Source organism: Homo sapiens, chromosome 9 (assembly GCF_000001405.40).
Source record: "Homo sapiens chromosome 9, GRCh38.p14 Primary Assembly".
Classification (NCBI taxonomy): Eukaryota; Metazoa; Chordata; class Mammalia; order Primates; family Hominidae; genus Homo; species Homo sapiens.
Window position 1 is genome coordinate 133,757,186 of NC_000009.12, and position 12,223 is coordinate 133,769,408.

The following is a 12,223-nucleotide window of genomic DNA, read 5'->3' on the forward strand; positions in this document are numbered from 1 at the left end:
GGTGGCGGGTGCCTGTAATCCCAGCTACTCAGGAGGCTGAGGGAAGAGAATCACTTGAACCCGGGAGGCGGAGGCTGCAGTGAACTGAGGTTGTGCCACTGCACTCCAGCCTGGGCAACAGAGCGAGACTCTGTCTCAAAGAAAAAAAAGGAAACTATTATGACATGCACTTTTCTAATCATTGTACATTTCCCAGAGTAGACAAAAATGTTTGACAAAGCCTTCACTTTTAAGGAACGCAAAAAACTTAGAAATCTCTTTTGTTTGATTAAAACAAATAAAAAAAAGACTTGTTTCCAGAGATTCCGGTTCCACACTCTGCCCCAATCCTTGGGGCAGCTTTCCAGTCATCCAGCCGGAGTTTGCCCCTGGTCATTGTTCTAACAAGTGCTCCCTGAGTAACAGCCCCTGAGTCTTTTTTTTTTTTTTTTTTTTCAGATGGAGTCTCACTCTGTCGCCCAGGCTGGAGTGCAGTGGTGCAATCTCAGCTCACTGCAACCTCCACCTCCCGGGTTCAATCGATTCTCCTGCCTTGGCCTCAGAGTAGCTGGGATTACAGGCGCCCACCACCATGCCTGGCTAATTTTTGTATTTTTAGTAGAGAAGGGGTTTTGCCATGTTGGCCACGCTGGCCTCGAACTCCTGACCTCAAGTGATTCACCTGCCTCGGCCTCCCAAAGTGCTGGGATTACAGGCGTGAGCTACCCCGCCGGGCCGCCCCTGAGTCTTTACATGTGGCAATGCGTTAGTTGCTGCCTGACAAATGAGCAACTATTTGAGCATCAAACTCTTGGGTCTCTCTTGCCATGAAGACCTTGTGTGAATTGTTCATTGCCTTCTAGCATTGAGCGTTACTGGGGTAATGTCGAGTGTTACTGGAGTAATGTCTAAAGCAAACCTGATTGGTTTTTTTTCTCTTAAGAGACTTGTTCTTTCTGCTTGGATGCCCAGTGGATTACTTTTTATCTTTGAACTCCAAGGTTAACCATTCTTGGTTCATTTGGCGTGGGGTATGGTGTGCCTTTTTATTCTATTTCTGTAACCTTTAAAAAATATTTTAAAACATTTATCCTTCTCCGTGATTTTGGCTTTGTTTTCCAGACACTCTCAACTATCCATGCGTGTCAGTCTCCTCTGCACAATGGGGATTCTCTGAGATGCTTAACTTTATGCAGGGGGCCCAGTGCTGGCTTCTGGCCTCGGGGGATCTGCAACTGTGGCTCCCAATGCCAGGAGAGTGTTGGAACCGGTCCCAGGCCCAGAGAGGCCAAGACCCTGGAGACTGCCCCGGGGTTAGCTCCCAATATCTCCTCGGGCTTCGATTTCTCTTTTTCTGGAATGGGCCCTTCTTTCCAGCTCAGCTATGCCTTCTGCATGTTTTTTTTCAAGGATTTCTGTGTTGGCAGTGGAGGAAGAGAGGCCTCCATGTTAGCTCAGCCTGATATGCCACTAGAAACTGGCTGAGACCTTGTTGGTCTTGTTCAACATTGGATCTCAGGTAAGGAATCAATACAAATTGATTGGATAAATGAGAAAAATCAAGCACAAGCACAAAATTCGTATTTTTTGCAACACTTAATAGATAAAAGAAAACACCTAGGCTGGGTGCGACGGCTCACACCTATAATCTTGGTTTTTTGGGAGGCCAAGGTGGGAAAATCATTTGAGGCCAGGAGTTCAAGACCAGCCTGGGTGAAGTAGCAAGACCCCATCTCTACAAAAAATTAAAAAAAAAAATTAGCTGGGCAGGGTGGCACGTGCCTGTAGTCTCAGCTACTTGGGAGGCTAAGGCAGGAGGATTGCTTGAGTCCAGGACCGTGAGGCTGCAGTGAGCTAGGACTGGGCCACTGCACTCCAGCCTGGGTGACAGAGTGAGACCTTATCTCTTAAAAAAAAGAAAGAAAAGAAAACACCCAAAGTGGGTCAAGTAGGGATTGTATGAGTCCCGTAGAAAACTGCAACACATTCAGGGAAAGAGGGGGAGAGGGACAAGCAGGGGGAGAGAGAAAAGGAGCAGAAAGAAAAACAATCCAGAGCTTCCTCAATTCTCCCCCCACCCCTCCCCACTCCCTGCATATCAGCTTCCCCGGCGGCGGCTTTTCCATTTGGTTTCTTCCCGGGCATCGAAAAGGCACAGAGTGGGCCCTCGCTAGGACTGTGGAGTGAGTGGAAGTGATTCTTGCTGCAAAGCCATCGTGGAGAACTTGCCGCAAATGTGACTCTGAGAAGGACTCGGAAGAGGTGACACGAGGTCCTGAGGGTAGGCCCTAATCCAAGAGGACGGGGTCCCCATGAGAGGAGGGAGAGACCTCTGAGATGAGCATGCAGAGGCCTCAGGAGGAACCAACGCCCTCCCTTACTGCATCTCCAACTTCCAGCCTCAGAACCGTAAGAAAGGAGATTTCAGAGTTGAGGCAGCCGGGTCTGGGGCCTGAGCCACAGCGGTCACGGCAGCCTGAGCCAACCAGGACAGGGCGAGGGCAGGGGCGGAGCGAGGGGGAGGGGCGGAGCGAGGGGGAGGGGCGGAGCGAGGGGAGGGGCGGAGCGAGGGGGAGGGACGGAGCGGGGCAGGGACGGAACACCGGGAGGAATGGAGCTAGGGGAGGGACTGAGCTAGGGGAGGGTGGAGCGAGGGGAGGGATGGAGGGAGGGCAGGGACAGAGGGAGGGCAAGGACGGAGGAAGGGGAGGGATGTGCTCGCCCAGAGCCCCCATGCCTGGTAGAAGAAAACACTCAGTAAATGGGAGCTATTTTATTTTCTCTCAGAACGCAAGGCCCCATCACTTCTCCTTGATTCACCCTTCTGATCACCAGCCTGGGACACCCACTCCACGGTCAGCTGTCCAGGGGTCGCCCTGCACCCACACCTGCCTGCCACCCCCAGGGGGCCAGGAGCAGCAGGGAGGGCTGCGTGAGGAGGGTGGGGCCGGCCCTGGGAAGGGGTCCCTCCTGGAGACTCGGCTGACGTACCAGTGAATGGGGGCGAGGGCAGGTCAGATGGGCATGGTCCAGCCTGCACATCTGGGAGAAGGCTTGGCCCAAGGGAGAGGTTCCTGGGGTTGGAAGCTCCTGGAGAAGGGGGCATTTTCACTCTGCCCATCGGGTTCGCCTCCCAGCAGCCTCAGTGGGGCGAAGGCTGGCCAGGGTCCAGTCTGCAGGAAGGGTGGGAGACCCAGGGGCTGGCCTGAGAGGCAGAAAAGTCATCGCTTAGGAACTGGGTGCTGCCCAAACAGAAACGTGGACTCTGGCATCAGACCGAGCTGTGCAAGGGCCACGTGTGACCTTGGATGAGTCACTTCACATATCTCAGCCTCAGTTTCCACTTCTAGAAAATGGGCTGTTTCCTGGCCAGAGCTGTAAGGGGATCTCTGTTCTCTCTCATGGCCCTGTGGCAGGAGCTCCAGCAGCCACCGTGGACCACGAGGCAGCCACAAGGAGGGAAGGGCATGCTAAGGACGGGAGATCAGGGAGGAGGAGCCTCTGAGGATGAGGGATCAGGAAGGAGGAGCTTCTGAGAATGGGGGATCAGGGAGAAGGAGCCCCTGAGAATGGGGGATCAGGAAGGAGCAGCCATTGAGGATGCAGGATCAGAGAGGGAGGAGCCTCTGAGGACGGAGGATCAGGAAGGAGGAGCCTCTGAGGACGGGAGATCGGGAAAGAGGAGTCTCTGAGGATGGGGGATCAGGAAGCAGGAGCCTCTGAGGACGAGGGATCAGGAAGGAGGAGCCTCTGAGGACGGCGGATCAGGAAGGAGGAGCCTCTGAGGACGAAGGATCGGGAAGGAGGAGCCTCTGAGGACGGCGGATCGGGAAAGGAGGAGCCTCTGAAGATGGGAGATTGGGAAGGAGGAGCCTCTGAGGATGGGGAATCAGGAAAGAGGAGCCCCCCTGAGACCAGGGGATCAGGGAGGGGGGAGCCAGGGTTCCTGATGGCTCTGGGACCAGGGCAAGGCAAAGGAGCTGCTGCCTCTGGATGGTCCTCCATGAGGGGAAGGAGAAATAAATCTCTCATTTTCTATTTTGGTTTTCTCTATCATACACCACAGAACCCACCAAAATGGAGAGGTTTTTTTTTTTTTTGTTCTGTTTTGTTTTGTTTTTTTTAGATTCATGGTCTTGCTCTGTTGTCCAGTCTGGAGTACAGTGGTGCAATCACAGCTCACTGCAGCCTCGACCTCCTGGACTCAAGCGACCCTCCCACCTCACCCTCCCGAGAAGCTGGGACCACAGATGTGCACCACCATATGCCCAACTATTAAAAAAAAAATGTTGTAGAGACAGGGTCTCGCCATGTTGCCCAGGCGGGTCTCAACTTCCTGGGCTCAAGCCATCCTCCCACCTCAGCCTCCTACCTCAGCCTCCCAAAGTGCTAAAATGACAGGTGTGTGCCACTGCACTGAGGCTATTTTTATCTTCAATATACATGTAAAGAAACAGGGGCTCAAGAGGTACCCAAGTGATGGGGCAGGAATTAGAATCCCATTTGTATGCCCGATGCCACCTGGAGAATTCCAGGGCACCGCATGGGAAACCCAGGGTGCTGTGCCAGCCGGGAGGTGGCCATGGCACCATTACCTCCGTATCTCTCAGACCCTGCTGCGGTTGGGCCACCCTGAGATCCAAGCACCCCAGTCAGACAGACCCTGCTGGACTTAGGCGGAAGAATCCAGCCATTCCCTCCTCCCCTGGTACGAAAGGCTGACCACTCCTGCAGAAAAGAACTCAGGTTTATTTGCAAGTAAAAACCATGGTCTGAAAAAAACCCATTGGCAAATGTACAGTTTGTGTCCATTTGGGGTTCCCGCCAGCTGGGGGGGCCCCCAGATCCCTGACCCACATGCATCGGGCTCCCACATGTTCACAGCTAATCTCAGGCCCCTGCAGTTTAGCCCCCTGCAGGGGACACCCCGTCTCCTGCTGAAAACCATCGGACTCCCAGGCTGCACCCAGCCCTCCAACCCTCCTGCCTTAGTGCAGTGCAAAAACCAAACCAAACACAAATCTCAAAACAAAGAAACACAAAACAAAAAAATTCACAAAAACCAGGGTTCTAAATTATTTTTTCTCAGTGTCCTTCGTGATCATGATGACTTATTTGTCAACAAACTAAAATATACATCATTTTCTTGCTATTATAAAATCTCTTATTATTCACAGATATATAACGGGAGATTTGGATGAAATAATTACAAACTTTTTTCCCCTTAAAAAACAAACAAGCCAAACAAAACACAAACAAAACAAAAACCCCAAAACCAAAACACAAGACCTTTCTGACGACAGTAAACACAGGGGCTGCTGGCTTCCTCCCCGCCATCCTCCGCGCCTGCTGGGCCGCAGGTCGCAAAGTGCTGGGTGTACCCCGACACGGAGGCCCCAGGGTGCTCTCTCCAAGGCTGACTCTTCGCTTCCCCTGCCCTGCCTCCACCTCCCCTCATTTCCCAAGCCTTTGTCGAGGGCCCCTCTCTCCCCCTGCCGCTCCCCATCCCCATGACTCCTCCCGCCTCTTCCCTACACCCCAGAGGCATACAGCCCAGAGGCCACAAGGCCAACCTCAGAAGGAGCCCCTAGGTCCCCAGCGCCACCCACAGCAGGGACCAGCTTCCCCCACACCCAGCCTGGGCCGGGCACCTCCCACAGGCTGTGCAGCTGGCCAGAGGGAGAAGGGGCTACAAGAAGCCCAGGTCTCAACAGAGGCTTTGGCAAGGAGCTGGGAGGGAGACACTGTTACCAGGTCTCATGCAACATCAGGGTAGAGAAACCAGGGTCTGGCTAACCCAGCCAGAAGTCGAAGGCCAGGAGTTGTGGCTGGGGGAGGTAATGGGGTAGAGCCACCCCCAAGAGCACTTATTTTGAGTCGCCCGAGGCCCAGTTTGTAGGCTGCAGGGGCCCTTGGAAGGAAGCCCTGCCAGGGGCTGGAACCAACCTCTCGTGCCAAGGCTGGGCAGACCCTCAGGGACCACCCTTCAGGAGAGCAGAGGGGCCTCCTGGAGAGGGACCTGGCAGGGATCTAGAGAGGGGAAATCCCTGTTTTCTTCCCTGCCCATTTCAGGGTTTTTACAAAAGATGTACTGATCTGGCAGCGCGGCCAGGCAGACACCTTCCCAGGACTCCAGAAAGGGCCTCTCAGAGAGAGGGCAGGAAACGGTACCGCTGACCGGGCAGCAGGGTTGGAATTTCATCATTCCAAAGGCCCCTCCCAAGAGAGGGGCCTGCCGTGTGGGGTCCGGGTGTGCCCCTGGCAAGGAGGGGAGTGGGGGAGTCAGGGAAGTCTTGGGAGCCAGAGTGGCTGCAGAGGGCGACCACAGTGCTCTCTCCTCCCGCGCCCTAGCACAGTGGGGCAAGTGGGCCCACAGTGAACAGCCTGGCTCTGGTCCCGTCTGCCTCCCGAGGTCTGACACCTCCCCCTGGGAGCAGCAGGAAAAGACAGGCAAGGCTGAGTCCAGGGGCTGAGCAGAGGGTGTGGGGGCAGGTCCCCTCCGATGTCCCTAGCCCTTCCTGGGACAGCATCTGCTGTTCAAACCTAGGCTCCTGAAGGCCATCTCAGTTGGACAGGGGCAGGCGATGGGCCTCTGGCCTCAGCCACTACCCAGAGCCTGGCTCGCAGCGCTGTCGGTGCCCCCTCCTCTGCGCTCTGGGTGGGGCTAGCCCAGGTTTCCTCTATGTACAATAGCATACCCAGTGATGGGTCGCCGAGGGCAGGCTGACAGTGAAACGGTTCGAGTTTAGGATTCTCAACACCCTCCCTATCCCTGTGGGCAGTGGAAGACTGGGAGGTTGGTATTTCCCCTCTGAGTCACAGAGGAGCTAGAGACAGACTTCAGGGCTGGAGTGACTCTCCCAAGAAAATCTGCGAGTCTTGTCCACGTTCCTGCCGTCACTGGATGCCCTCCTCTTCTACGTACGTTGAAGGAAACCAGCCAATCTGAAAAAGATGGTAAGATCGTGTCTGTGTGTGTGTGTGTGTGTGTAAGCAGGTGTGTGCATGTCTATGTTGGGGTGAGGGCAAGTAGAGGCTCATGAAGATGGGGGGCCCTTCGGAAGTCCAGAGTTCTCAGAAGGACCTGGTGGAACCATTGCCTGGGAGTAAGAGCAACCCAGAAAAACACCACCCTTGGCCAGTTTAAGATGATCTGCCCACCCTCCAGCTGCCAGTCAGAAAAAAAATAAACCCTCCTGAGGAAAAGAACATCACCCAGAACAACTACAGCTTTTTCTTAATACACAAGCTTGGCATTCAGTCAGGACCAAATGACAAAAACCAATAGAAAAAGCAGACAGTAGAAATCAACCCACAGGTATTGAGGTCATCTGTCAGGGGAGATTAATAACTCTAATTCATACGTTTAAGAAAACGGATGAAAAGGCAGACAATTTTACCAGAGAACCTAAATCGGAAATCAAATAGAAATCCTAGAACTGAAACATACGATGAATGAAATGAAGAATCCAATAGAGGGATTTAGACAAAGCAGAAGAGAAGACAAACTGTAAGACAGGTCACCAGAAAGTGACTAGATAGAAAACCAGAGAGAAAAAAGGATGAAAAACACATAAAATTGTGGAAATAATATGAGGCCATGGTAAAAAGTTCTAACATCCTTGTGAATGAAGTCCTACAAGGAGAAAAGAGAGAAAATGGAACAGACACACAGTCTGCAGATACTATGCTGGCTGAGAAATTTCCAAAAGTGATGGACATCAAGCCACAGGTTCAAAAAAATCTCTGCAAATCCTAAGCAGAATAAATAAAAAGAAAATCACACCTAGGCAGATTATAGTAAAATGAACTCAAAACTTCAAATGAACTTCAAAATGAACTCAAAACAACTCCTCACAAAAAGGAACTAGGTCTCCTTGGAAAAATGACTGATTCCTGGGGGACGATGAATAAGTACAGGAGAAAAGAAAGTTTTCCTTACAGTAGAATGCCAACTAATATCTATAGATAGTCAAAAAATCACTATTTTTCAGCCATAATAGAAATAATAGAATAGATAAAATTCATCAAGGGAAGATAAAACTAGTACATGAAAGTTTGAAGAGAAACAGGATATTTACCTAACCTCAAAGTATTACCCTGCAAATTACTTGCTAATTACAGTCAACAGTAACTTCACAGTAGAACATAGCAAATATAATCTTAAACACATGATCAAAGTTAATGTCACAAATAATGAGACAAACTGGCATAATTCATGTCCTAACAGGACACTACGGCACTGAGAAAGTGCCAACGTCCCCATTGTGGTGTTCCCAATGGAACCTCAATCTAATCATGAAGAAACATCAGACAAACCTAAATTGAGAGATATCCTATAAAAATAGCTGGCTCAAACTCTTCAAAAGTGTAAAAGTCATGTAAGGCAGAGAAAGACTGAGGAATATTCCAGATTAAAGAGAGTTAAGGATCACAGCAAGTCAATGCAATTCATGATCCTGGACTGGATCCAGGACCAGGAGAGAAGAGCTAGAGAAGACATGATTGGGATGACTGGTAAGATTTGAATATGGACAGTGGATTAGATAATTGTATTATATCAAAGGGGAATGTCCTTGGTCTTAGGAAATACTTAGGGGTAAAGAAATATGATTTCTGCAATTTACTCTCAAGTGAGTTAGAGAGAAATAGACAAACACACACACACACAGTGCAAATGATAAAGCAAATGGGGCAAAACATTCACAATTGGTAAATCTGGGCAGGTTACTGACACTTTTAAGTTGAAATTTTGAAATTGTACGTTTGAAATTTTGTTTCAAAATTATGTTACAAACATTTTACAATGTGAATATTTAAAAAGAAAGTGAAATAAGGATGGTTTTAGATTCAAAAGAAACTGAGAATTCATTAATAGCAGATATGCTTTAAAAAATATGAAAGAGAAGGGATGTCAGGCAGCAGGAAATGGTGTTGGGTGGAAATACAATAATGCAGGAGGAAATGGGGAGCCCTGGGAAAGGTAAACACGGGGTAAATCTAAATAAGCACAACAGCCTAAAACAAAAACAATGTCAAATGGTATTTCTAGTTCTAGATCCCTGAGGAATTCCCACACTGTCTTCCACAATGGTTGAACTAGTTTACAGTCCCATCAACAGTGTAAAAGTGTTCCTCTTTCTCCACATCCTCTCCAATGTATGTTTATTGCAGCACTACTCACAACAGCAAAGACTTGGAACGAACCCAAATGTCCAACAATGATAGAATGGATTAAGAAAATGTGGCACATATACACCACGGAATACTATGCAGCCATAAAAAATGATGAGTTCATGTCCTTTGTAGGGACATGGATGAAGCTGGAAACCATCATTCTCAGCAAACTATCACAAGGACAAAAAACCAAACACCGCATGTTCTCTCTCATAGGTGGGAACTGAACAATGAGAACACTTGGACACAGGAAGGGGAACATCACACTGGAGGGGGAGGGGGAGGGATAGCATTAGGAGACATACCTAATGTAAATTAGGTTAGTTAATGGGTGCAGCACACCAACATGGCACATGTATACATATGTAACAAACCTGCACATTGTGCACATGTACCCTAGAACTTAAAGTATAAATAAATATATATATATATATATATATATATATCCCAAAAACAAAAAAACAAAAACAATGTCTTCTAAGGTTTGAATATATATAGAATTAAGATACATGAGAACGCTTGCACAAAAGTTGGGAGGAAAATGGATGCAATCAAAAGTCGCAAGGTCCTTCCTTGCATTGTCTGGGAAATAGTAAAAAAGTACTCATTTAAGGTAACCTCTAGTCTAAGGTTACCACTTAAGAAAAAAAGTGTGTAACTAACAAACCAATGTAGGGCAGGGGAAGTAGAATTAAAAATATATTGATTAATTCAAAAGTAGGCAGGAAAGAAGAAAAAAGGAGTAGATGTGACAACTAGAAAATAAAGTTAGATAATTTAAACCCAAACAGCTCAGTAATTACATTAAATGTAAATGGGCTATATATGCCTATTAAAAGCCAAAGACTGTCAGACCAGACTGGCTTCCCCAACTATTTATAAGAAATCCATTTTAAATATAAGGAAATAGAAAAGTTTAAGTAGTATGAGAGAAAATAATATGCCACACAAAGCAGTAATCCCAAGAAAGCTGGTGTCACAAAAGCAGATCAAGGAGACTACAGCAAGAATAAATGCCAGAGAAAAGAAAAGACGTTTCATAATGGTAACAGGGTCAAATTGACAGGAATTATCCAGTAATACTCAAACTAGTTGTTCTAAAACTTAATGCTGTATAGAAAATACCTGGATCTGGGAAAGAGCCCAGGTATGTGCTTATTAAATTACAGCTTCAGGCACTTTTAATGCCAATCACACAAGGACCACTTTGAGAACCAGTGGTCCCAGCCCCCTAGGTGGGCTACCTAAGCCTCAGTAGCCTTGACACTTCTATAGGGCAGTTGGGTAAAAAATGGGTCAGACTTGAGGGCCTCCAAGGGGCAGACTGATAGGTGAAGGCAGAGCTGCTCCGGCCACTGGACAATGGAAGGGTCAGCACTGGGAGCCAAGGTTAACTGGCCCTCTGAAGCCCCATCCACCTGCCCTGTGCAGCTTGCAGCTCACAGAGAAAGCTGGGCATTTTCTAATTGGTGGCACAGGGAGCTCTGGTGCTTGGATGGATAGGTACTGAGAGACATGGGTCAAAGCTAGAGGTCCAGATGGGGTGTTGGGATGAAGAGGCCACAGACATATGCAGAATCTTAGGGTGGCCAGGGCACTCTTAGGCCCACCTGGCACTTGGGAAAGTGTGAAGGGATTGGGGACACACTGTGTCCCTACTGCCTCACCAGGGCATAGATAGGGCCTTAGAAAATGGCAGGAGGAGCCCAGCAAGGACACCGTGTCCTCCTCAGTCCTGTGACCTCCCTTCCCGCAAACAGAGCTTGGGGACTTGCAAGTAATTTGGCGAGTGCAGCTATGAGGGCAGCCCAGAATAAAAATGGAACAGGGTCGGGGGGTTCCTAGGAGCCTGGATCCGCATCAGACCTCTGTAGCCGATTTCTGGCTGTGTGACCTTGGGTTCGTGGTAAACATCTGGAGCCTCGGTTTCCCCCTGTGAATGCCAACCTTCTGGGCTGCTGTGAGGATGAGGGAGATTGCAGAGGGTGTCTGGAACAGGGCCTGGGGTGTGGACATAGGTGTGGTGCTAGTCTGCCTGAGCCCGACCAGGTAGGGGCTGCAGCGAGGCCAGCCCCACACCCTCAGGGTGGGGCCACTCACCCGTCCGTTGGTCTCGCCCTTCCACCAGCCCTGGTCTCCGCCGATGCGGCTGTAGATCCTCACCACGTCACCCTCCCGCAGCGAAAGCTCCCTCATATCTCGGGCGGCAAAGTTATACCTGGCCACAGCTGTGCCGATGACGCGGGGCGTGAACACTGTTGAGGGAGATGGGCAGCATCACACAGCTGCAGGAGGAGCCCAACCAGTGATCCAGGAGGCCCTTGGGCCAAGCTGGGTCTCTCCCCTGGTGCCCAGAACCCTGCTCTGTACCCAGAGAGGAAGGATGTCAAGCAGAAAGGCTCTGGAGGGACACACTGGCCTCCAATCCCAGGGCCCCTTGCCCTCTGGGTCTGGGGACACAGCACATCCAAGTCCCTGCAATGAGGATGTTCTTAGGGACAAGAGCAGGTGCCCAGGCTTTGACCATCATCATTCCAGTGGTCCCCCAAATCCAACCAGAAACCCAGTGGAACCAGCTTGGCCCAGATGCAGAATCCTGATAGACAGGTGACAATGACCATGGCTGAGGGCGAAACACACACAGCTGCTGGGAAGGGACTTTGACTCTGGCAGCCGAAAGCCATGAGGTCAAGGCTGACTGAAAACCCCTCCTCCCTGCACCCAAGTCCCACAGCTCCTCCTCGTGGCCACCTGCTTTCTGCTACCAGAGGCAAAGCTCTTGATGAACAAGGAGGAATGACAGTGGACGGGGCTGGGAAAGTGGCCATCAGGGTGGGCGTGTCCACAGGGGGTGGGTGGTGACAATGGCAGGGCCAAGCCTGACGTGTCCTCAGGTGCTCGCAGCAGCCTCTGCCCGGCCTCCCCAGCCCCTTTCTCCCCTCCACCCAGTGCCAGACTGCGGACAACTGTGGCCACGTCAGGCAGGGCTGTGGGGCCAGTGGGCAGCTCCGTGCTGGGTCTCCCAAGGCAGCTGCCACAGGCCCGGTCCCCCCACGCCCTGGGGAGC

At 50.5% G+C, this 12,223-nt stretch overlaps 1 protein-coding gene across 7 annotated transcripts in view; it reads right to left on the bottom strand.

Moving 5' to 3' along the window:
- The window catches only part of VAV2 (vav guanine nucleotide exchange factor 2), a 230,431-nt gene continuing 222,916 nt past the window's right edge, over positions 4,709 to 12,223 (bottom strand). For all 7 annotated transcript variants that reach the window (NM_003371.4, NM_001411028.1, XM_017015109.2 and 4 more), the window contains 2 exons: positions 11,257 to 11,411; positions 4,709 to 6,924 (listed from right to left, as the gene is read on the bottom strand). In NM_003371.4, the coding sequence (NP_003362.2) occupies positions 6,877 to 6,924; positions 11,257 to 11,411 (203 nt within the window). In that variant the 3' untranslated portion in view covers positions 4,709 to 6,876. The remainder of the gene's footprint in view (positions 6,925 to 11,256; positions 11,412 to 12,223) is intronic.